The sequence below is a fragment of the Homo sapiens genome, chromosome 5 (genome assembly GCF_000001405.40).
Source record: "Homo sapiens chromosome 5, GRCh38.p14 Primary Assembly".
In the NCBI taxonomy this organism is placed as follows: domain Eukaryota; kingdom Metazoa; phylum Chordata; class Mammalia; order Primates; family Hominidae; genus Homo; species Homo sapiens.
In genome coordinates, this window is record NC_000005.10 from 156,506,771 (window position 1) to 156,533,875 (window position 27,105).

At 38.2% G+C, this 27,105-nt stretch overlaps 1 protein-coding gene across 9 annotated transcripts in view; it reads left to right on the plus strand.

Moving 5' to 3' along the window:
- The window catches only part of SGCD (sarcoglycan delta), a 1,039,957-nt gene that overhangs the window by 778,939 nt on the left and 233,913 nt on the right, over window positions 1-27,105 (plus strand). For all 9 annotated transcript variants that reach the window (XM_047417519.1, XM_047417518.1, XM_017009724.2 and 6 more), the window contains one exon: window positions 1,831-1,932. In XM_047417519.1, the coding sequence (XP_047273475.1) occupies window positions 1,831-1,932 (102 nt within the window). The remainder of the gene's footprint in view (window positions 1-1,830; window positions 1,933-27,105) is intronic.

Sequence of the window (27,105 nt, forward strand, 5' to 3'; positions counted from 1 at the left end):
ATAGCCAATTCAGTATTTTAAAGATCAACAATAAAGGAGGGAAAATCCAACTCTGTCAATTCCTCTACAAACTAAAATTCAGAGTTAGCAAATAGTTGATGAGATGAACTTTCTCTGGCTAGTATTCCCAGCTAGTAAATTAAGAATAATAGAATTAGGATATAACCAGTTTGAAACCTCTAGTGAAATCATGGGTCCTCTAGGCAAAGACTACATTGGCTGATAACCTCATGGCAAAAATTGTTATGTGCCTACTGATAGAAGAACCTCCCATGAAGTAAGTAAAAAATTGCGCCTCACTCCACCTCAAAGATGTTCATGTATAATCTCAGAACCCATGAATGTATTATATTACATGGAAAAGGGCAATTGAGATTGCAGATAGAATTACAATTACTGATCAGGTGATCTTAAAATGGAGAGGTTATCCTGGGTTATCCAGATGTGCCCAGTGAAATCTCAAGGGTCCTTGAGAATGGAAGAAGGATACAGAAGATTCAGAGTCAAGAGTGGTTTTACATGAGAAAAACTCAATCAGCCACTGCTGACTTTGAAGATGGAAGTGAGGCCATGAGCCCAGGAGCCAGAAAGAGAAAGGAAATTGATTCTCCCTTTAGAGCCTCCAGAAAAGGACATAGCCCTTCTGACACCTTGATTTTAGCCCATTGTGTCCTGGTCAGAATTCTAACACACAGAACTGTAAGATAATAAGGTTGTGGTGTTTTAAACCACTAAGTTTTGTTATTTGTTACTGTGACAATAGAAAACTAATATACCCCATTTCCTAGGATATAGTCTTTCTAGAAAATTGCATCTGAATCTGATCAAGCCTCTTGATGTAACTACCAATTTACAGGAAACATAACGAATAGAGGAACACATTATATGAAATTATGGGAATGTTCAGCAAAATCTAAACTCTGGGAAATTCCATTTTTAAAATGACATTTATCAAATAAAGTATATGTGTATATATTTGTATATGTGTGGATGTATGAGAGAGAAAATGACTGACTGGAAATTTTAGGAACTGGCCTAGTATTTTATGTAGCAAACAATTGCTGTAAGGAACTTAATTCAAATAAGCAAATTATAGAGAGAAAAAAACATATTAGTGAAATTTGAACATGGACAATAGGTGTTTGATATTAAGGAATGATTGTTACTTCTGGATTGTGTGTGTGGTAATGGGATTATTGTTATATTTAAACAAAGAAGGGGAGTGTAGGTGGCAGTAATAGATAATAATAGCCATAAATTGATAATCGCTGAAGATGAGTGATAGGTACATATGTGTTTGCTATCTGTTCTTTCTACTTTTGCATATATTATTTCCGTAACAAAATATTTTTAAAAAATATTAGCAACTAACTTGACTCTTTACATGTTTTGTGACTCAAACACACACGTCCAAAGTCTGGATTTAACCAACAGACTGCCAGCTTGAAATCTCTGTAGAGTTCTGGAAATAGGATCTTTCACTTTTCCTGGAGAATTATCCTTTTCTCTCCTCCTACTTACCTTCTCCCTCCATTCTTTCTGTGCTGCCTAGCAAAATTGCCCCCCACCCCAATCTGTGTGTGTGGATGACTAGGGGGCATTACAAATTGCTTGGAATAGAATTTTCTCAGAAAGAGTGAAAAAGATAATATGCATAACTGCATTAAACAATACCTCCTAATATTTTACATGTTTTTTGAATACCCGTCCTCATTCCACACCTTCAAAAATTAAAAAAAAAAAAGGCTATAACTACGTTTTTTACAGCCTGAGGTGTTTTGAAATTTTGGCTAATCATATCTTCCTTGTTATCTCTGTGTTCTATTTCAGGATGGAATGGGAAACCTGAGGATCACAGAAAAAGGTCTAAAGCTAGAAGGAGACTCTGAATTCTTACAACCTCTCTACGCCAAAGAAATCCAGTCCCGACCAGTAAGTTTCTGCTGAGAGAAGGAGGCATTATTGTTGCTCTAGAATCTAAATCTGGAGGAATTGATCTTGCTATCAGCTGAGTACAGAGAATTGGGGTGGGGAGTAATACTGGTATTAAGATGAATTTGCTTTCTCTTCTGAATCTTTGAGTATCATCACAGCAGTGGTACTGTAAGCAAGTGAGATGACCTCTCTGAGCCTCTTTCCATTCCTGCTCAACCCCTGCTACCCAGCTTTATAGATTGTGCCACAAATAAGGCAAAACAGCAAATGTGGAACAGCCATAAATAATATATGAATGCAGATAATATTGCTGTTTATTTTATTCATCAAGTACTTCAAAGCCATTTTTAGAAACACAGAACTGAAGAACTAGAATTTTGTTTTTCATTAAGACTTTACACTGTGTAGCCAGTGTTGGTTAGGATCAATTCAATATCAAGCTGAGTACAGTGGCTCACACCTGTAATTCCAGCACTTTGGGAGGCCAAGGTGGGCAGATCACCTGAAGTAGGAGTTTGAGACCAGCCTGGACAACATAGTGAAACCCTGTCTCTACTAAAAATGCAAAAATTTGCCAAGTGTAGTGGTGAGCACCTGTAATCTTAGCTACTAGGGAGGCTGATGCAGGAGAATTGCTTGAACCCAGGAGGTGGAGGCTGCAGTGAGCCAAGATCACGCCACTGGACTCCAGCCTGGGCAACAGAGCAAGGCTCCATCTCAAAAAAAAAATTAATTCAATATCAACAGCTACATTCTGAAATGGTATTTAAATAATCACTACAGAGTGTGTACCCTGTTCTAGGCACATTGCTGTTCTGCATGCAGTATCATTATCTAATTTAGTTCACAGATTTGTCCACTGAGGTGGGGACTATTGTTGCCTCTATTTTATAGATTAAAGAATTGAGGCTTGGAGAAGTTTCATGTAAAAAGCTTCATACTTGTAGCAGGACAAAGATTTCAAGCCTTCTCTGTTAACCATTATTTCCTACCTAAGCTTTTCCTTTCATTCCTTCTTTATTGCTGTAGCAGTGATTCCTACATACATACCTTGCCTTTGTTAACCACTGTTATTCCAAGTTGTGTGGGTTTCTTTTAGTGGTTTTATTTTTCGATTGGTTGGTTTCATTTATTTAGTCTTTATTTTTGTTTTTTAGTGGAGTGGTAGAATTTGCTGGTTGAAAAGGATTATTAATGCATTTGCTCTGCCTTGGATTGATCCCCCTTCACCTGTGAGCAAGGCATAATGTGAAAGTTCCCCCAAAGCACTACTTGCATTGTGTGCATTGATTAGCATAATTATTGAAATTCAGCAACTTGGTGCAGTGGCTGATTTTATCTGAATGTTATACAAAATCTTGAATTGTATTAAACTGGTACCACTACTAAATTTCAAATAAGTTTACTTTCTTGTGTGCTTAGTAAAAGAGAGGGAACAAGGATGTTAAAACTATCAAAAATAGCAAATGAATTTAGCCATACAATGATTATTTATAAAATGTAACTGGAACCTATAGCATATTGTCTTGGGTACTTAAAGTACACAGAGTATTGTGAACATATTTACTGTCATTGAGAAACCTATACCCTAGAAGGAGTAATGAGGTGACCCTGTAACGTGGAGAGTCAGATGATAATTCTGCCTTGGACAGAATAGAGACAGTTTAAAGCATTTAAAAAATATCTGTTATATGCATTGCTCTTAATTTATATCTTGTTTTCCCAACCTGGCAATTTGGTTAGTTGTCATTGACCTATTTCTAGTTGAACTTTAGACTAATAGTCTTACCTGTATTAAACTTGTTTAACTCACTAGTTTAGTTTAGTCATTTCCTTCTATGGATGTTGGCATACCTTTTCTGTAAAGGGCCAGAAAGTAAATATTTTAGTTTTATTTTAAACTTTTTTTTTCTTTTTTACAGCTCTCAAAACTTGAATAGCATTCTTAGTTTGGGAGTCATACAAAAATAGGCCACAGGCTGTCATTCACCAACCCTTCTAATCTATATTAGGAATAATTCCATAAATATATAAATGCTCTTATGAGACTGGAAGTGGTAAAAGGTAGATTTTAAGAACATAAGAAGAACAGTTGATATGTGTTGAGTAAAACATCCTGAAATAAGTTTCCTTGGTATAGAATTAGTCATGTCAGGATATTAGGAAATGTGTTTTAGAAGACTTGAAAACAGGGTACTGGGTGCATCTGTTGGGTCTGTATGCAGGAATTGGATGTCTAGCAAATGTGTTAGCAAGCCTCTCTGGAAATTGACAGACAGCTGATCCTAACTGAGAGATATACCTGCTTGTAAGCTTAAAAAGTAACAATACTTACGTTTATATTTAATTACTTACCTTAATACTGAAATACATGAGCTATATGCAGTGCTTTCAAATCACTGTTTAAAGAAAATAAAAAGCCCTCAAATTCACTATTTTCCATTGGTTTTAATAACTTTTTTTCAAAAATAGTAAAGTTTTATAGCCTTACATGTTTCTAACAACAAAAGAAGTATCTTCTAACTGAAGGAGAAAATACACAGATATGCATACATAATAAAATCCGTAAGTCATGTGAGCTCTACCTGAAACCTGTGCCCAAATTCATTCACTCTTCTGCATCACACACCACACCTTAGGTCAAGCCACTGTCTGTTCTCACCTGCACCATTGCAACAGTCTCTTCGCTGTCTGCTGCCTTACCCTTTTAGCTTCATTATACAAATTGTAGCCAAAGTAGTCTTCAAAATGTCAAATCGCTCCACCTCTTCACAAAGGATTTCCCATTGGTTTCCTGTTGCATCTGGAATACAATCTAAAGTCCTCACTAAGTCCTGTAAAATGCATTATTAGGTGTTTTCATTGAGGGCTCCTTCTGTTCATCTTTGTATCAGCTCAGATGTCACCTGTTTAGAAAGACCTCCTTCACCCAATCAGTCCATTTAGCATAATAGTCGTATATAAACAGCACATTGGTTTTTATTCCTTATAACTGTCATTCTTTCACATTCTTATCATGTTTATATGTTTGGAAGAGCAGCAGATTGTCTGGATTTTCCCCACTGTATTCCTCAGACCTCTTGCTGTACCTAGCACATAGTACATGATCAGTAGATGTTTGAGAAACTGAACCAGCGAATCACTGAAAATGAAAGTGTCTCTTAAGTCTATTCTGCAGAGGCAAGCACTGTTAAGAATTTACTGTTTTGGCTGGGTGTGGTGGCTCATGCCTGTAATCCCAACACTTTGGAAGTCTGAGGTAGGTGGATCAAGAGGTCAGGAGTTCGAGACCAGCCTGGCCAAGATGGTGCAACCCTGTCTCTACTAAGAATACAAAAATTAGCCAGACACGGTGGCGGGCAGCTGTAATCCCAGCTATTCCGGAGACTGAGGCAGGAGAATCACTTGAATACAGGAGGTGGAGCTTGCAGTGAGCTGAGATCGTGCCACTGCACTCTAGCCTGGATGACAGTGAGACTCTGTCTCAAAAAAAAAAAAAAAAAAAAAAGGAACAATTGACTGTTTTATCAAACATTTTCCATGCATATGTATTTTTCAACAAAACCATACCTTGAATACTATTCTGTACTGATGCAATGATGGTCTCATAAGATTATAACACCATATGTATTTTTACTGTACTTTTTCTATGTTTAGATAGATACTTCCCGCTGTTCCAGTTGCCTACAATATTCAGTGCAGGAACATGCCATAAAGGTTTGTAGCCTAGGAGGAATAGGCCATGCCATACAGCCTGGGTGTGTAGTAGAGTACACCATCTAGGTTGGTGTAAGGACACTCTATGATGTTCATGCAATGGCAAAATCACCTAATGACATGTTTCTCATAATGTATCCTCATGAAGTAATGCATGCCTATATTGTTTATTTTGTATATCTTATATTTAAAATTTTAATAGCTTTCCTGAAGTACACTTCTGATAAGTTACAATCTGATAAGTTCTAAAATATGTCTGTTCACATGAAACCACCACAATCGAGATAACGAATGTATCCGTCACCCCTGATAATTTCTCCTTGCTCCATTTTAATCCCCCCATCCTGCTGCATCCTTCCTACTTCCACACCCATGTGCATTTCCTAGAACTTTATATAAATGGAATCATATAGTAAGAGTATCTGAATAATGTTAATAATAAGTTGTCAGTTTATAAAGACCTTTTTTAAAACCATCTATTTAATGTCTAACTTAAGAGTACGATTTTTTTTTTTTCCTGCAATGGGGCTATGTCTTGATTTTCTGGGGAGAGATATTAGAAGTGGTCCAGTTCATAAACATTTAATATTTCCCTTCTGGATAACATCAAAGCACAGAGAACAGAATAGAGAATAACATATTAGGCATAGCATTAAAGGAAGAATTAGTCTTTCTTTGATATGTCCACAAAAATTGAAATCAAGTATATTGGCATGAAAAGGTGAAAGAAAAAGATTTCTAAGATGATGATTTAGTCCACAGGGCTTGCCTCTCTTTAAGCACAGAGGTTATTGCCAGCTGAAAGAAACTGGGGTTCTGGTATTAAGGAAGGTGGGAGGGATGAGTGGTTGGCAGGCAACCAATAGGATCTGCCATTTTTACTGAGTCATAACCTCACATGATGCTCATGAACCTCACATGTAGTTTTTAGCACCTTTCCATTCACCACTTTGTTATCTTCAGCTTACTGGTCGTTTTCTGATGTATCTGACTGTTGTCTGTAGACTACCTCTGGGGGCCTCTCATCTGCATGATTATCTGCAGTGTCATTTTTATGTGGATCATAGCTGCTTCCATTTTATGGGGTATCACCTTCTGCTTTTCCTATTGAAAAGAGATCAGTGTCCAGTTGAGCAAGATTAGTCAACTACTCGAAGTGAGGACAACTAATGAAGCAACACTTGACTTCCTTGTGGTTTTGTGTTGCACTGATCTGAGAGGAGCTGACATTAGTTAAGCAATTCACACAGTGTTCAGCACTGTATCTGATTTCATTACTGAAGGTTGCAACCCTAGTAAAGTCACTACAAATTGATTAGTGTGATAACAATCACTTAGGAAGATAAATTAATGAGAAATGTTCATCTTTATAAATATTTGCATCTGGGAGTTGAATGAAAGCCCCAGGACATTCTAGCTTTCAGCCACATGGATGTACAGCTTCTAAGTGGTAAAGTATCATGCTGTCCAGAAAAGAGATTGAGAAGGATACATGCTAAATTAAGCATTCAACCATGACATCCAAAGGCAGAATGTCTTAGAAATACCACTTGAATGCATTAGCACAAAAGGTTGTAAAGTTAAGGGATTTAATGCTATACAACTCTATGTTTGAATGCTATTTCAATGTGATTGGATATCTTTTTAATTGCTAAGTATAACTGCAAGTTTTTGGCAGGAACTACTAGTAGATAGAACGAATGAATGAGTACTAAGGAAACCTTTATTACTACTTTGTGAGTAAAGGTCTCCTTAGGATTCATTCATTCTTAGACAAAGTTGTACATCCCTACTTCTTCAAAGAGGCTTTTTACCTCACATCTTAGGATGCTAGGATTAGATTATGCTTTTGCATAACTTAATGTGAACTAGCAAAGGAAAGGAAAATAGCATTTATTAAGCACCTATTATTGTTCCACACCTACAGCAATAGGAAAGCCGTATCATGAATTTATCTTCATGTTCACCTCAAACTCCATTTGAGGGTGGGTATAGGGCTCCTAGCCCATTGCTGTATTGAATTTAGAAGTTCGGAAGAGGAGAGGGTAGAAAGAAAACTTGAATGGATCAGAAAAATTAACTTACATTAGGAGAATAAAGTGGAAAATTATGCAAATATTGAGAGTATTTATGTCTTTTAAAATATTTTATCCCGTAAAAAATCTTGGCTCTGCCTATCGTAAGATAGTCTCATGTATGAAAACCAGCATATAGAATTATAAAGTCATATATAAATGAGGATTTTAGAAGTGGCTTATACCAAGAGGCAGTGTGACAACATGGATTTGAGCATGTGCTGCCTTGTTGGACTTGGGTGGCAACTAGTGCTACCATTTGTTCAGTGAGTAATCTTTGAACAATTGTTTAACCTTTCAAATGCTTGTTTTCTTACCTGCACAACTGAGATATTAACACCTACATCATGTGTGGTCGTAAATAAGTAAGATAATGTTTTTTAACTGTTAATACAGAACTTGACATAAAGTGAGGTCCAGAAATGGTAGCCGCTACCTTCATCTCCTTCTGACAATGATGATAATGATGATGATTTTCACATCATCATATAGTCCAGATTTCATCCGATGTTTGGACTTCCTCTGAATCAAATGGTCTTGCAACCTCTGCTTGGATATCTTCTTAATGACAGACTTATTACTCTCAAAGAAAACCCGTTTTATATTCAGTAGCTTTTAGTTTAAAATTTTTCCTTTGCTGTGTTACCTTCTTCTAAAATTTGACTTTTCTCTCATTCTTCTTAAACATTTTTGCTGGGTCTAGCATTCTTGGCACAGTCTTTCTGAAAAAAAATAGCTTCATGATATATTTCAAGTACTTTAAAAATGTTTATACACTCTGATTCAGTAATGACGTTTTCACTCATTTTATAACATAGCAAAAGCAAAACAAAATATTTAAAGATTAAAACACACATGGAGGGGTCAAGATGGTTGATTAGAAGCAGCTGTGGATGGCTGCTCCCACTGAGAAGAATGAAGACCGCATGTGAATCCTGCACCTTCAGCTGAGGTATCCAGGTTCTCTCACTGGGACTGATGAGGTGTTGGTGTGACCCACAGAGAGTGAGGATAAGCAGGGTGGAGTGATGGCCCACCTGGGAGCAGCACAGGCAATGGGGAGTTCCCGCCCCCAGCCAAAGGAGCAGAGAGCGATTGTGCTACCCTGCCAAGGAAACCAAGATTTACCCACATATCTGTGCAACCCATGGATCAGAAGATACCCTTGTGAGCCCACGCCACCAGGGTCTTGGGACCCAAGAACAGAGCTGTGCAGACTCTCAGCAGCTGCTCGAGTCGTGGCCAGCAGCAGCATGCTGAAGACTGCCTGAGATGACCAAGTTTCCAGAGGGGAAGGGGAGCTGCCATCACTGTGCCCCAGCCGTTTTCCCCTGCTGGTGCCCTGGAGACTAGGTGGTTTGGATGGGAAAGAAGTCCCCACAGTGCAACACAGCAGCTGTAGCAGATTGTGGCCAGACTGCTTCTTTAGGTGGGACTGGGCTCCATCCCTCCTCACCAGGCAGGGCCTCCCTGTGGGAATTTCAGCAACTGCAGCCAGAGGTTTACAGACCGAACTCTAATCCACCTGGAATGGACCCCCAGGGGGAGAAGCAGCTATGGTCTCCAGGCTCAGTAGTTAGTCTTTCCTGCCTGCTGGCTCTGAGGAGGCCAGGCAGTCCAGACAAGGGGGATTCCCCTGAGCACAAAACACCCGCTCTGCCAAAGGGCAGCCAGAGTGCTTCATTAAGTAAGTGGCTGATCCCATGCCTCCTGACTAGGTGAGACCCCCCACACACACACCCCCAATAGGGGTTGCCAGATATTTTATGCAAGAGCATTCCAGCCAGCATCAAGTCACTACCCTTCTGGGACAGAGCTCCCAGAGGAAGGAGCAGACAGCCGTCCTTGCTGTTCTGCAGACTCCACTGGTGACACCTCCAGGTGCAGGAAAAGACCCAGGAGTGGCCCCCCAGCAAACTGCAGCAGCTGTACAGAAGAGGGGCCTGACTGTTAAAAGTGAACAGAAAGCAACAACAACATCAACAAAAAAATACCCACAAAACCCTATCCAAAGGTCAGCAGCCTCAAATAACAAAGGTAGATAAGCTCACAAAGATGAGGAAGAATCAGTGTAAAAAGCTGAAAACTCAAAAGGCCAGAGTGCCTCATCTCCTCCAAATGATTGCAGCACCTTTCTAGCAAGGACATAGAACTGGGCTGAGGCTGAGATGAATGAACTGACTGACATAAGTAGGCTTCAGAAGGTGGGTAATAATGGGCTGGACGAGGTGGCTCAGGCCTATAATCCCAGCAATTTAGGAGGCCGAGGCACATGGATCACCTGAGGTCAGGAGTTCGAGACCATCCTGGCCAACGTGATGAAACCCTGCCTCTACTAAAAGTACAAAAATTAGCCAGGCTTGGTGGCACATGTCAGTAGTCCCAGCTACTCAGGGAGGCTGAGGCAGGACAATTGCTTGAACCCGGAAGGTGGAGGTTGCAGTCAGCCGAGCTCACACCACTGTACTCTAGCCTGTGTGACAGAGTGAGGCTACATCTCAAAAAACAAAACAAAAAACAAAACAGGTGGGTAATAACGGACTTCTTTGAGCTAAAGAAGCATGTTCTAACCCAGTGCAAGGAAGCTAAGAACCATGATAAAACATTACAGAAGCTGTTAACCAGAATAACCAGTTTAGAGAGGAACATAATTGACCTGATGGAGCTGAAAAACAACACAAGAACTTCACAATGCAGCCACAAGTATCAATAGTGAAATAGACTAAGTGGAGGAAAGAATCTCAGAGCCTGAAGACTATCTTACTGAAATAAGACAGGTACACAAGATTAGAGAAAAAAGAATGAAATGGAATGAACAAAGCTGCCATGAACTATAGGATTATGTAAAAAGAATGAACGTATGAATGATTGAGGTACCTGAAAGAGACAGGGAGAATGGAACCAAGTTGGAAAACGTACTTCAGAATATCATCCAGGAGAACTTCCCCAACCTAGAAAGACAGGCCAACATTCAAATTCAGGAAATCCAGAGAACCCCAGTAAGATATTCCATGAGAAGATCAACCCCAAGACACACAATCATCAGATTTTCCAAAGTCAAAATGAAGAAAAAAAATGTTTAGGGCAACCTGAAAGAAAGGTTCAGGCCACCTAGCAAAAGAAGCCCATCAGACTAACAGCAGACCCCCCTCAGCAGAAACCCTACAAGCTAGAAGAGATTGTGGGCCAATTTTCAACAACTTAAAAAAATTTCCAACCCTGAATTTTATATCTAGCCAAACTAAACTTCCTAAGTGAAGGAGAAATAAAATCATTTTCAGACAAGCAGATGCTGAGGGAATTTGTTACCACTAGGCCTGCCTTGCAAGTGCTCCTGAAGGAAGCACTAACTGTGGAAGGGAAAAACTGTTACCAGCCACTAAAAAAACACATTGAAGTACAAAGACCAATGGCATTATGAAGCAACTACACCAACAAGTCTGCAAAATAACCAGTTAGCATCATGATGACAGGATCAAATTCACACATAGCAATATTAACTCTAAATGTAAATGGGCTAATTGCCCCAATTAAAAGACACAGAATAGCAAGCTGGATAGAGTCAAGACCCATCAGTGTACTGTATTCAAGAGACCCATCTCACGTGCAAAGACACACAAAGGCTAAAAATAAAGTAATGGAGGAAAATTTACCAAGCAAATGGAAAAACAGAAAAAAGCAGGAGTCACAATCCTAGTTTCCGACAAAACGGGCTTTAAACCAACAAAAATTTAAAAAGATGAAGGGCATTACATAATGGTAAATGGTTCAATTCAACAAGAAAAGCTAACTATCCTAAATATATATGCACCCAAATACAGGAGCACCCAGATTCATAAAACAAGTTCTTAGAGACCTACAAAGAGACTTAGACTCCCACACAATAATAGTGTGAGACTTTCACACCCACTGTCAATATTAGACGGATCATCAACACAGAAAATTAACAAAGATATTTAGGACTTGAACTCAGCTCTGGATCAAGTGGGCCTGATAGATATCTCCATAACTCTCCATCCACAAACAACAGAATATACATTCTTCTTGGCACCATATGGCACTTACTGTAAAAGTGACCTAAAATTGATAAAATTCCAATTGTGATTGGAAGTAAAACACTCCTCAGCAAATGCAAAATAACTGAAATCATAACAGTCTCTCAGACCATAGCTCAATTACATTAGAACTCAAGATTAGGAAACTCACTTAAAAACCACACAACTGCATGGAAATTGAGCAACCTGTTCCCAAGTGACTCCTGGATAAATAATGAAATTAAGTCAGAAATCAAATTCTTTGAAACTAATGAGAACAAAGGGACAATGTACCAGAATCTCTGGGATGCAGTTAAAGCAGTGTTAAGAGGGAAATTTATAGCACTAAGTGTCTGCATCAGAAAGCTAGAAAGATCTCAAATGAACATCCTAACATCACAACTAAAAGAACTAGAGAACCAAGAGCAAACAAACCCCTAAGCTAGCAGACAAGAAGTTACCAAAATCAGGGCAGAACTGAAGGAGTTGGAGACACAAAAAAAATTCAAAAAATCAACAAATCTAGGAGCTGGTTTTTTGAAAAAAAAATTAATAAAATAGCTTGCTAGACTAATAAGAGAAGAATCAGATAGACACAATAAAAAATGATAAAGGGGATATTATCACTGATCCCACAGAAATAGAAACAGCCGTCAGAGAATACTATAAACACCTCTATGCATATAAACCAGAAAATCTAAAAGAAATTGATAAATTCCTGGACACATACACCCTTCCCAGACTGAATGAGGAAAAAGTTGATTCCCTGAATAGACCATTCACGAGTTCTGAAATTGAGGCAGTAAAAGCCTACCAACAAAAAAACAAACAAACAAACAAACAAAAATAACAACAACAAAAAAGAAAAAGCCCAGGACTAGATTTACAGCAGAATTCTACCAGAGGTACAAAGAGAAGCTGGTACCATTTCTTTTCAAACTATTCCAAACAATTGAAAAGGAGGGATTCTTCCCTAACGCATTTTATGAAGCCAGCATAATTCTGATACAAAAACCTAGGAGAGATACAACAAAAAAAGAAAACTTCAGGCCAATATTCCTGATGAATATTGCTGCAAAAATCCTCAGTAAAATACTGGCAAAACGAATTCAGCAGCACATCCAAAAGCTTATCCACTACAATCAAGTCTGTTTCATCTCTGGAAAGCAGGGCTGGTTCAACATATGCAAATCAAAAAATATAATTACATAAGCAGAACTAAAGACAAAAACCACATGATTATCTCAATAGACTCAGAAAAGGCCTTCAATAAAATTCAACATTCCTTCCCGTTAAAAAACTCCCAATAAATGAGGTATTGAAGAAACATTCCTCAAAATAACAGGTGCCATCTATAACACATCTTCAGCCAATATTATATTGAATGGGAAAAGCTGGAAGAATTTCCTTTTGAAAACTGGCAGAGGACAAGGATGCCCTCTCTCACCACTCCTATTCAACATAGTATTGGAAGTTCTGGCCAGGGCAGTCCACCAAGAGAAAGAAATAAAGCATATTCAAATAGGAAGAGAGGAAGTCAAACTATCTTTGTTTGCAGATGATATGATCCTATATCTAGAAAACCCTGTCATCTCAGCTCAAAATCTTCTTAAGCTGATAAGCAACTTCAGGAAAGTCTCAAGATACAAAATCAATGTGCAAAAATCACGAGCATTCCTATACACCAACAACAGAAAAGTGGAGAGCCAAATCATGAATGAACTCCCATTTACAATTGCTACAAAGAGAATAAAATACCTAGGAATACAGCTAACAAGAAAATGGAAGGATCTCCTCAGGAGAGTTACAAACTACTGCTTGAAGAAATCAGAGAGGACACAAACAAATGGAAAAACATTCCATGCTTATGAATAGGAAGAATCAATATTGTGAAAAGGTCCACACTGCCCAAAGTAATTTATAGACCAAGTGCTATTCCCATTAAACTACCTTTGATGTTACTCACAGAAGTAGAGAAAACTATTTTAGAAGTAGAGAAAACTATTTTAAAATTCATATGGAACCAAAAAAGAGCCCAAATTACCAAGACAATCCTAAGCAAAAAGAACAAAGCTGGAGGCATCGTGCGACCCAACTTCAAACTATACTACAAGGCTACACTCACCAAAACAGCATTGTACTGGTTCAAGAACAGACACATAGACCAATGGAACAGAATACAGAACTTAGAAATAAGACCACACAGCCAGGCGCGGTGGCTCATGCCTGTAATCCCAGCACTTTGGGAGGACAAGGAGGGTGGATCACGAGGTCAGGAGATAGAGATGGTCCTGGCTAACACAGTGAAACCCCATCTCTACTAAAAATACAAAAAAATAGCTGGGTGTGCTGGTGGGTGCCTGTAGTCCCAGCTATTCAGGAGGCTGAGGCAGGAGAATGGCATGAACCTGGGAGGTGGATATTGCAGTGAGTCGAGATTGTGCCACTGCACACCAGCCTGAGTGACAGAGCGAGACTCCGTCTCAAAAAAAAAAAAAAAAAAAAAAAAAGACCACACATCTACAACCATCTGATCTTCAACAAACCTGACAAAAACAAGCAATGGGGAAAGTATTCCCTATTTAATAAAACGGGAGCTGACAGAACTGGCTAGCCATATGCAGAAAATTGAAATTGGACCCCTTCCTTACACCATATACAAAAATCAACTTAAGGTGGATTAAAGACTTAAATGTAAAACCCCAAACCACAAAAACTCTAGAAGAAAATCTAGGTAATACCATTCAGGACGTAGGCATGGGCACAGATTTTGTAATGAAAATGCCAAAAGCAATTGCAACAAGAGCAAAAAATTGACCAATGGGACCTAATTAAACTAAAGAGCTTCTGCACAGCCAAAGAAACTATCATCAGAGCAAACAGACAACCTACAGAATGGGAGAAAATTTTTGCAATCTATCCATCTGAGAAAGGTCTAATATTCAGAGTCTACAAGAAACTTAAACAAATTTACAAGAAATAAAACACATTATAAAGTGGGCAAAGGACACGAACAGACAGTTCTCAAAAGAAGGATGCATGTCGCCAACAAATGTATAAAAAAAGCTCAGTATCACTGATCATTAGAGAAATCCAAATCAAATCCACAATGAGATACCACCTCACGGCAGTCAAAATGGCTATTACTGAAAGTCAAGAAACAACAGATGCTAGTGAGGCTGTGGGGAAATAGGAATGCTTTTACACTGTTGGTGGGAATATAAATTAGTTTAACCATTGTGAAAGACAGTGTGGTGATTCCTCAAAGACCTGGAACTAAAAATACCATTTGTCCCAGCAATCCCATTACTGGGTATATACCCAAAGGAATATAGATCATTCCATTATAAAGATACATACATGTGTATGTTCACTGCAGCACTATTTACAATAGCAAAGACATGGAATCAACCCAAATGCCCATCAGTGGTAGACTGGATAAAGAAAATGTGGCACATATACGCTATGGAATACTATGCAGCCATAAAAAAGGATGAGTTCATGTCCTTCGAAGGGACATAGATGAAGCTGGAAACCATCATTCTCAGCAAACTATCACAAGGACAGAAAACCAAACACCGCATGTTCTCACTTGTGTGGGAATTGAACAATGAGAACACCTGGACACAGGGCAGGGAACATCACACACCAGGGCCTGTCAGGGGGTGGGGGGCTGAGGGAGGGATAGCATCAGGAGAAATACCTAAAGTCAGTGATGAGTTGATGGGTGCAGCAAATCAACATGGCACATGTATACCTATGTATCAAACCTGCACGTTGTGCACATGTACCCTAGAACTTAAAGTATAATAATAAAAAAGATACTAAAAAAGAAAATGTGGTACATATACACCATGAAGTACTATGCAGCCTTAAAAAGGAATGAAATCATGCCCTTTTCAGGACATAGATGGAGCTGGAAGCCATTATCCTCAGCAAACTAACACAGCAAAGAAAACCAAACGTCGCATGTTCTTACTTACAAGTGGGAGCTGAACAATGAGAACATATGGACACGGGGAGAGGAACAACACACACCGGGGCCTATTGATGGGGAGTCAGAGGGAAGGAGAGCATCAGGAAAAACAGTTAATGCATGCTGGGCTTTAAACCTAGGTGATGGGTTGTTAGGTGCAGCCAACCACCATGGCACACATTTACCTACTTAACAAACCTGTACATTCTGTACATGTACCCCAGCACTTAAAAAAAAAAAAGACAACCCCATCCCCACCCCCCGACACACACATCAGTGCTGTACAAAATCCTGTGTAAATGTTGGTTCTTATTAAAGTCTAAATTCCACATATAAAATGGGGCATGAGGGTATCCAAGTTTGTCAATATTTATCAAAGTTGAGAAATATCTGTACACTTTTTGAAACCCTAAGCCAGTCATCCTCAGCATGAATTGTTATTTTTGATTCTGTCATTTCTTTATTTAATGAAGAGGGAGATTTGTAAAAATCCATTTTGATTTTAGCATGATGTCAATTGAGATTTATTCCATCATCCTAATTACCAAGACATATCTAGGAGGAATGTTAAAAGCACCTAATAATTTAATTAGACCAATTACTTCATTTACTGATTGGGGCACTAAGGCTCAGAAAGAAAGCAGGATTTACCAAATTATACCCAGCTAAATTTAGAACTAAAATCCAGAATGGCAGTATTCTTCCCTGTGACCAAACTGACTGTTAAGTGGTAATTTTTTAATGATATGTTTAGTGTGACAAGTGGTTACACGTGGCAATTTCCCTCTCATGAGGAATAACTTTGACTGAAATGCATGTTGAACTCATGAGAAGATTCATAAGCACTATGAGAAGGAAACTGGAAACAACAGTGGATAATGCAACGGAACTGAAGCTTAATTATGGATGATCTAATCACTGGGATGATATTGTATACTTAATGTATTTCTCGTAAGAGTTAAGCGAAATGATTTTAGTGACCTGCCTTAGAAAGTATTAAGTCAGCTTATGACAGAAGTTACAAACTGAATCCAGGTCACAGATGTAGTCTATTTGCCTCACACAGTATTTTTCTTTTAATATGTGTGCTTCTAATATTTAACAATCTGAGAATCTCACATTTTTTTAAAAATCTACATTTTCTGATTCTTATGAAGGAACAAAAATATGGTAGAGTGTTTCGATATTCTTACACGGTAGAGTTCAGGGGCAGTCTCACATTTTGAAAACTTCATACTTTATATGAGACATTTTTTCTTCAGTTTGGCATAGTCTCACCAGTCACTATTGTGTCATACCCAGTTACTTAACTCATTTATACTGAGGACCTCTGAAGTACCTTGCAGGTGCAGTACCTGGTTTATGGTGTTATGAATGTACAATACGTTTTTACTTAATGTCCTCAGTAGGTTCTTAGAAACTGCAACTTTAAGTAGAACACCATATATTAGGTCCTTGAGAAACATTGTTTTGTCCAGAGTCATTTTGTTATAACATTGGTGAAAAAAAAAATGCTTTTGTTACATGTTATTTCACTTAAAGTGGCAGTTTCCAAGAACCTATGGATGATGATAAGTGAGGTCTTACTATATATATATATATATATATATATATATATATATATATATATATATATATATGGTTTTACATAAAACTACAGTTTTATATAGGTCTTACTATATATATATATATATATATATAGGTCTTTATATATATAAAGAGAGAGTAATATATATAGTTATATATAAAACTATAGTTTATATATAGTAATATATATAGTTATATATATATATATATATCATCATGCAGGAGTTAAGAAACTAGGATGATTTCATAGGATTAATATTCACTCCTCTTTACCATTCCTTACTTCTTGTTTCTCTCTCTTGTGACCCAGTTTCTCCTAGTGGTCTAGCTTGGGGGTTCCCCTACCACTTTATTGAGGTATAATTGACAGGTAAAAATTGTATATATATTTAAGGTGTACAAACTTAATGATGTTTTAATATACATCATGAAATGACTAACATAATAAAACCAATAACGTATTCACCACCTCACATAATTGCCTTATTTTATGCATGTGGTGAGAATACCTAAGGTCTACTTTCTTAACAAATTTCAGGTATATAATACATGCTTATTACCTATAGTCACCATGTTGTATATTAGGTCTCCAGAACTTATTCACGTTATAAATGAAAGTGTGTACTCTTTGATGAACATCTTGTTTCACCTACCCCACTCCCACCCTCACTAACAACCCTTCTACTCAATGTTTCTGAGTTTGACTTTTTAAAATTCTACATAAAAGTGAGACTATGCAGTATTTGCCTTTCTGTGACTTGGTGATTTAGCTTAATGTTCTCCAGGTTCATCCACGTTGTTAAAAATGACAAGATTTCTTCTTTTAAGGCTAAATAGTATTCCATTGTGTATATATACCATATTTTCTTTGCTCATTCATCTGTCAGTTTAGATTTAATTCATATCTTGGCTATTGTGAATAATGCTACAGTGAATATGGGCATGCAGATATCTCTTTAAGATAATGATTTTCTTTCTGTTGGATATGTACCCAGAAGTGGGATGGCTGTATCCTATGGTAGTTCTATTTTACTTTTTTTGAGGACGCTCCATGCAGTTTTCCATAATGGCTGTACCAATTTACATTTCAACCAACAATACAAAAAGGTCCTCTTTTCTCTACATCCTTGCCAACATTTGTTATCTTTCTTCTTTTTGATAACAGCCATTCTAAAAAGGGTGAGGTCATAACTAATTGTGGTTTTGATTTGCATTTCCCTGATGATTAGTGGTGCTGAACACCTTTTCATATACCTGTTGGTCAGTTGTATGTCTTCTTTGGAAAAAGGTTTATTCAGGTTCTTTGCCAAGTTTTAAATTTGGGTTATTTAGTTTTATGCTCTTGAGTTGCATGAGTTCTTTATATAGTTTTATTATTAATCCATTATCAGGAAGGTAGTTTTCAAATATGTTCTCACATTCCATAGATTTCCTTTTCATTTTGTTGATTTTTTTTTTTATTGTATGGAAAAGTTTTAGTTTCATGTAGTCCTACTTGTTTGCTTAATTTTGCTTTTGATTCCTATGCTTTTGGCTCATATAAGAAAAAAGTCATTTCAAAGACCAATGTCATAGAGCTTTGCCCCTATGTTTTCCTCTAGTAGTTTTACTGTTTCTGGTCTTATGCTTAAGCCTTTAACCCATTTTTGAGTTGATTTTTGTGTACAGTATAAAATAAGGATTCAATTTCATTTTTGTGCATGTGGCTATCCTGTTTTCTCAGCACCATTTATTGAAGAGACTATTTTTTTACCCATCACATATTTTGGTAATTTTGTTGAAAATTACTTAACCATATCTGTGGGTTTATTGCTCAGCTTTCTATTCTGTTCCATTTATCTATGTGTCTGTTTTTTGTTTGTTTTTGTTAGTACCATACTGCTTTGATTTCAATAACTTTTTAATATAATTTGTAATCAGGACATATGATACCTCCAGTTTTGTTCTTCTTGGTTTTGAAATTGTATGCAAGTTCAATGGCAGGCAGTAGTTGTCTTAGAATTTCTGGAGTCTGAAGTATGGCCCTTTACAGCCATTCTCTACTCTGAGTCTTCTAAAATGTGCTTCCTTTTTGTTCGTCTAAGCACTAAAGAACTTAAGCTGGGGAAGGAGGGAGATAAAGATGAGAAAGTGTTAAGATTTGGATTCTGAGTGCTGTTTATGAGGGAAAAAAAAAGTGAGAACTATCATGGGATGGCAGACACGCACACAGTCTGAATAGGTTCCATTGATAAATTAGTTGCAAGGAGCAAAGTCATGTCTCTGGTTAGTTTAGAAACAAAATGAAGGCTATGATGGCTTCTCCTCAGTAAGCAAAGCAGCTCCAACTCCCAAGTGAACACACTGCACACAAAACAGTATTTTCCATGCCACTTGCATGGAACACGAGCATCTTGCTGTCTTAAATTAAGAAGTTAACTGGACCATGAAGTATTGCCTGAGTAAATAAAAGTGATTTGTACTAAGTCAGAAGGGTGCATTAGGCCTCTTTGCGTTTCTTTGCTCACACATAAATTATGGATATTATTAAAAATTGGAAGGGTCATCTATAAGCCCATCTGTACTATGAAGCCAATTGCCATTCCCCAAATGTATCTGTTTTCCTCTTATAACTTATTGTGGACGATAATGTGAACCAGCTGCTTACATTTTTTTTAAACAGACACATAAACTTTGAATAGTTCAACACGTAATACTATTGTCAGTTTATTCGGGAAAACAGAGATACGTATTCAAAGGCTTTTGGCTGCCATACAATTAACATGGCTGATGGGGATAAATTGACTGTGCGTGCTTTTCTTAAATGAAGCTTATACTAGAAATGTAAGAGTTACTGAGGGCTTTGGTCGATCTCAGTTATAACAATGTCAGCCAGAGTTCTGGTAGGAGAAGTGTGTTCAAACTTCAAAGGAGCCTGAGAATGTCTAATTGTATGAGTTGAGGGCCACTGGGCAGGTAAGATTCCTCAAATTCTTCCTCATTGCCTATCATGGTACAGAAGGGTCCATCATTAGAATCTCTTTTATTTGAAGGCTTCTGGATCTCTCAGTAATTTTTATTCAGCCAGACTCATACTATAAACACTCCTTTCACTGATGTACAAACACATTTCCACAAAGGTTTGGAAATAACTTATAAGAAGTACATACAGTAACATAGTCACAAAAGATATAATGGGTTAAGATCAGAAAAAAAACATAAACTATAATTGGAGGCAAAGATGAGGGCAAGCTATAGAATATAAGGGGAGTCCATAGCATCCCAGGAGTTTGCTCTTACTAAACCTGGAGTTTGGCTATGAATTTTTGAAAGAGAGAGACAGTGTGTTGGATGTAACCTTCTATCTGTACTTTCTAGAGATTTGGTTAAAATGTCCTGGATGATGTGGGGAGTTAAAACTAGCAGCCTAGTGTTAGAGAAAGTACACTAGATTCAAAGTCAGGGAATCTGGCTTCTCTTCTCACTGTCCAAGTGAGCCCTTGAGCAAGTTACTTCTCTTCATGTCTCAGTTTCTTTATCTGTGAACCATCTATCTGTGAAAGAAGCTGGATCTGGATATAATCAATGGTTTTCTGTAGCTTTTTTTTAAGTCATGAAATATTTTTAAGCCTAATTTTACTTTGAACCCCCAAATCCAAACCAGCTGGAAGCTGAGCTGCTGTGGTTGACCAGGAGATGGTCCTGCACCTGTTGTCCTACCCAACCAATCTTCCTGTCACCAGCCACAGGGGGCCGAGGCCCTTGCTGGGATTCCACAGACCACAGTTTGAAAATGACCAGACTGGATCAAAAAATAGCCTCATTTTTTCCAGGTCTCTGTTCCAATGCCATTTTCTCGTGAAGACCTTCCCTGACTGCCTTATCTAAAATATATCTCTGACCCAGTAGATTTATCTTGTTATATCATATCATATCAGATTACATATGTATCATATAATTATATATTTTTACATTTACCTGTTTGTTTGTTTCCACTATTACTTTATAAACTCCATGACAGCAGAGATGGAGAAAGGCAGTACTACATGGTATTTGGGAGCAGGATCTGGAATACCAACTTCCTGAATTTGAATCTTTGCTCCACCATTTACTAGCCTTGTAACTTTAAGCAAGTTACTTGACCTTTTCTGTGCCTCACTTTACTCCTCTGAAAAATGGGCATAATAATAGCACTATCTCATAAGATTATTATGGGATTATAAGAGTTAATTTATGTAAAGCTTATGGAATAGTGCATTGGATGTAGAACACTGTATAATATTTGAAAATAATACTATATATTATTAGCATTTATTAATACTATTATCTTTTTTTGCCACCGTCTCCTTAGTTTCTAGACTAGTTCCTGTCACATGATAGGAAAACAAATTGTTTGAATGAATGGATGTTCTCTTAGGATCTTTCTGACTCAAAGATTCTCTAAGAAGCTTTTGGAGAGACAAACATCTCTTCAAAAGGATCTTATACATTTATTAATTATCTGTATTAGCTACATACTAAGTATTCAACTATGTAGACAGTGGCACGAGCAGCTATGTGGTGTGAGGCCATGAGGGAGTAAGAATAGACTTTAGGTGGAAGAGCTAAGAGAGGGCTAAAGGTAATAAGTTTCATCTTTACGTACTCTGCAGCTTTGACCTCCTATATGCCTTGATTCATGCCATTCATAAGCTTCTGAGAGCTCCTAAGTGTTGAGCTGTGTGTTATAGATAGGACATTTTAATAGAACAAAATTAGCATTTCCAGTCCTTCAAAGCTTTGGGTTTCTCATCATCATCACTATGGCATTTCAACATCATCTAATACTTTTGATTTCAAGAACATCCCAGCTGTCTAGAATGACTAGTTGCTGCTGAGACTGCTTCTTGCTTATTTCATAAATTGCATTTATGAGAAAGAAATGCATACCAGAGTCCACTGCAGCTTGGTTTGTTCCTTTAGTAGTAAGAAGATTCCTACCTAGGTTAGGAGGCATTCCCACAGACCGTAGTAACTGCTGAGTACATTTGAGGAGAATAATAGAGGGAAGGTAGCCTTAAGAAAGGCACATGGGCCGGTGCGCCAGCTCACGTCTGTAATCCCAGCACTTTGGAAGGCTGAGGAGGGTGGATAACGAGGTCAAGAGATCAAGACCATCCTGGCCAACATGGTCAAACCCCGTCTCTACTAAAAATACAAAAATTAGCTGGGCGTGGTGGTGTGTGCCGGTAGTCCCAGCTACTCGGGAGGCTGAGGCAGGAGAATTGCATGAACCTGGGAGGCAGAGGTTGCAGTGAGCTGAGATTGGGCCATTGCACTCCAGCCTGACAACAGGGTGTGACTCTGTCTCAAAAAAAAAAAAAAAAAAAAAGGCACATGTTTTAATATGGTCATGTGGTCTTAAAATCTTTGTTTTTCTTCACTCCTATGTTGTTGGCAAAAAAAAAAATGTTGCTGTAAAAAAAAAATGCTTTTTTTCTTAATGCTTCCATCAAAACAGATTCATCTTCTGGCAACTCTGGCTGTACCCAGTGCTCTGTCATTGCTATGGATATGTTACGCCGTTAGTCTTAATTTTAAAAAACTTGTTCCTTGTCAAAAACACTGATAATTTTTCAGGAGACACAGTTTCAGAAGCTGAAAAAACTTTTTTGCCATATGAAATTATAATCATATACTGTTACTTTGATTTTGTGATCTCTATCAGCAGCTAAGTGTAACCTTTTGATGCAGCACTCTATAAATTATTAACCATGATGTTTTAAATGGCAGTGGCCTAAATTATGACTGTGGGACTTTGCATTTCCATGAATGATTGTTTTTATTAGCAATGATTCTTCCTCTAGGCAAATACCAAATGGTCTGCAAAGTAAATGAGGCTTTTAAGATTGATAAATATTTCACAGATGCACTTGTTGCATATTGGAGGGGGAGAAGGAAGAAGAGAGAGAGTGACACAAACCACCATGTTGAAAGAATGAGTTAAGCAGACTGCCATGTTTTCTTCCTTGCTTGGTGCAATAAATAAGGTGGATTTCTCAACCTCGTAAGCCACAGCTTCCATTTTGCAACATCAGAGTCCTGAAAATAAAAAATAGCAACACTCTCCAGTAAAAGACAAGTACAGATGTTACAATAATTGAAGTTTTCCACCACCAAGCTGTGTAGATAGGTTTTAGCCCTCAGTTAAAGCTCAGCAGTTATGTTTAAAAATAAGAGAGGAATATTTATGGAAAGATTAATTATCCTTAGGTGGTAGCTCATTAAGAGATGTGAAATGAAGTTGAGTTTATTTTTAAATCATTAATGCATAGGTATTTATATTATTGAATGACTGTATAGTTCCCGTATTTATGGCTGACTTCAGTTGCTAACAAGCCAAAGTCTTTCACTTATTTCTTAGCATTCTCAATAGTTTTTTGTATTGTCTTGCCATGTGAATTTTCTGAAATGTGAAGTTCACCGCCATGCTTTATTTCTTTTCTTTTCTTTTCCTTTTTTTTTTCTTTTTCTTTTTTTTTCCTCAGATGGAGTGTTGCTCTGTTGCCCAGGCTGGAATGCAGTGGTGCAATCTCGGCTCACTGCAACCTCCACCTCCCTGGTTCAAGCAACTCTTCTGCCTCAGCCTCTTGAGTAACTAGGATTACAGGCATGCACCACCGTGCCCAGCTAATTTTTGTGTTTTCTAGTAGAGATGGGTTTCCCCATGTTGGCCAGACTGGTCTCGAACTCCTGACCTCGTGATCCACCCATCTCGGCCTCCCAAAGTGCTGGGATTACAGGCGTGAGCCACCGTGTCTGGCCGCCATGCTTTATTTCTATTGCTGCTACAAAGAGCCTACTAAATAACAAAGAGTTTCTTTCTTCCTCATCATATCTTAGCAAAACTCGGGTTAGGGAGTGTTGTGGTTTAAATGTGTCCCCTCCAAAACTCATGTGTTAAAACTTAATGACCTATGTGATAGTATTAAGAGGCGGGGCCTTTAGGAATTGATGAGGTCATGAGGACTCCTCCCTCATGAATGGGATTAATGCCCTTATGACAGAGGTTTCGTGCAGTGTTTGGCATTTTTAGCCTCTCCTGTCTCCTCTTCTGCCATGTGAGGACATAGTATTCCTCCCTTGGAGGATGCAGCAACAAGGCAACATCTTGGTAGCAAAGAGCAGCCCTCACCAGACAACTGAACCTGCTGGAACCATGATCTTAGACTTTGTAGCCTCCAGGACTATAAGAAAGTTAATTTCTATTGTCTGTAAATTACCCAGGCTGGGGTTCTTTTGGTTGTTGTTATAACAAGAAACAGATGGACTAAAACAGAAATGTACAGGAAGTATAATGAAAACAGGATTTGACAGCATTATGATAGATGTTACACAAAGTATAAGAAGATGACTAACCCCAATGCAATGGTGGAAGGTAAAGGAAAATTGCCTTCTTTCTGTGGGTAAAGACACTGGAAAGTCTTTTTGTCAGGGTTCTCTCCACACAACACATCACAGGGTCGGTGGTCCTGTTCGATCCAGCAACATTGATTATATGGTAAAGCTGCACATGACAGTTTTTAAAATTGGCCCATATGGCAAAAAGTCAATTCTTAAAATTTCCCTTGAAAAAACCTTAAATCGCCCACAAAATATAGTAGCCATAGTCTTATATGCATAGCCTTATGCATAAATCTAATGTCCAGGAGAACCACTGAGGCTAAACTAAGTAATGGGAAAAAAAAAGACTCTACGTAAATGTATGGACATGGGCTAGGCACGGTGGCTCATGCCTGTAATCCCAGCACTTTGGGAGGCTGAGGTGGGCAGATCACCTGAGGTTAAGAGTTCGAGACCAGCCTGGCCAACATGGTGAAACCCCATCTCTACTAAAAATACAAAAAATTAGCCGGACATGGTGACAAGCGCCTGTAATCCCAGCTACTCGGGAGGCTGAGGCAGGAGAATCGCTTGAACCCAGGAGGCAGAGGTTGCAGGGAGCCGAGACTGAGCCATTGCACTCCAGCCTGAGTGATAAGAGCAAAACTTTGTCTCAAAAAATAAAAATAAAAAAAGGTATGGACACTAAAACTGTTCTGTTCTTGAGATACTAGCAAATTGCTATCAGGAAATGAGGAATGCTTGGGAAGTTTTAAGGTGTTCCTAAGTGTCTGCAGGGTTTTGCTGTTCTAATATTGAATATCTGTAACTTTAATACATATTAAAATATCTGCTGTTGCAGAGATTGAATGAACTACTAGATGTGAAAGTACTTTGCAGAGGGCCCAACCTATTGTGATTGCTCATAAATGTTTGCTGAATTTGAATCCAAATACCATGTGATTAGAGTCTTACATTGTAATAGCTAACAGATACAGTGCTAATGTAAAATTATCTTGTTTATTTTATTTATTTATTTATTTGAGATGGAGTTTTGCTGTGTCACCCAGGCTGGAGTGCAGTGGCATGATCTTGGCTCACTGCAAGCTCTGCCTCCTAGGTTCATGCCATTCTCCTGCCTCAGCCTCCCGAGTAGCTAGAACCACAGGCACCCACCACCATGTCCGGCTAATTTTTTTATTTTTTTAGTTGAGACAGGGTTTTACCACGTTAGCCAGGATGGTCTCCATCTCCTGACCTCATGATCTGCCCACCTCGGCCTCCCAAAGTGCTGGGATTATAGGCGTGAGCCACCAAGTCTGCCTATCTTGCTTATTTCTTATAGTGACCTTATAAAGGCTCTATCACTTTGATCTTCTATTTAGAGATGAACAGTCAAAGGATTATAGGCGTGAGCCACCAAGTCTGCCTATCTTGTTTATTTCTTATAGTGACCTTATGAAGGCTCTATCACTTTGATCTTCTATTTAGAGATGAACAGTCAAAGGCTTAGAAAGGCACAGAAAGAACATACATCTAATACTCCAACCCAGGTTGATTCTCACACCCTGTCCTTAACTGAAATGCCATCTTATCTTGGAGAAGTAAACAGTAGTTACAGGTTGATCTGTGCTGCTTACCCAGCTGGCTTTCTCGGTAGCCATGCAGGACGCTTGCCAGTTTCATGAAGAGGAGACCATGTTATTTCCTTTCTCTACCCATTGTGGTTTCTCTGGTCATTCCTCACACCCCCTCTGATGGCTTCTGTACTGTAGTTTCTCTTCACGTAGTCACAGTTTCCTATGGAGTCCATTTTTTCTCCACTCAAACTGCAGATCTCCTAAATTGTACCATCTCCTACTATCCTGTTACTTCTCTCTGTCCGTACCTTTTGTTAGAATTGCATTACAGTATCTACTTGGAAATAATCAAGGACCCATGTGTGAATTTAGTCCCTGACTCAGGAAAAAATGCCATGATATTCTAAGGATAATATGCTCTATAGATATGTTTTCATCCAGAACCCCAGACTATACATTTTTGTACTACAAATTTTTTAATGTGTAAGTGTTCTACTGGTTTCTCAGAGTTCAGCAAAATGAAATAAATGGAAGATTATAAAAACTTACACAAATTCTAAATTTCCAAAGACATGGACTTTCTTATCTCTGATTCCTTATCTAACTACAGAACATAGAAAATAAGAGTGACTCTTTTCTTAGGTTTTCCAATTGTCCAAATACCTGTGCCACTCTAGATGCCTAACAGAGATGTTAATTTATTATATATAAGGATGCCTTAGGGCTTAATTACCTGTGGGACCTCCATCGGAGAAAGGATTGTCTTCATTCTATATTCAATTTGCCTTATAAAATTCTTCTTATAAATAATAAGTGCAAGAACCCATAATGATTCTCATTCCTTGAACTGTTCCTTCATT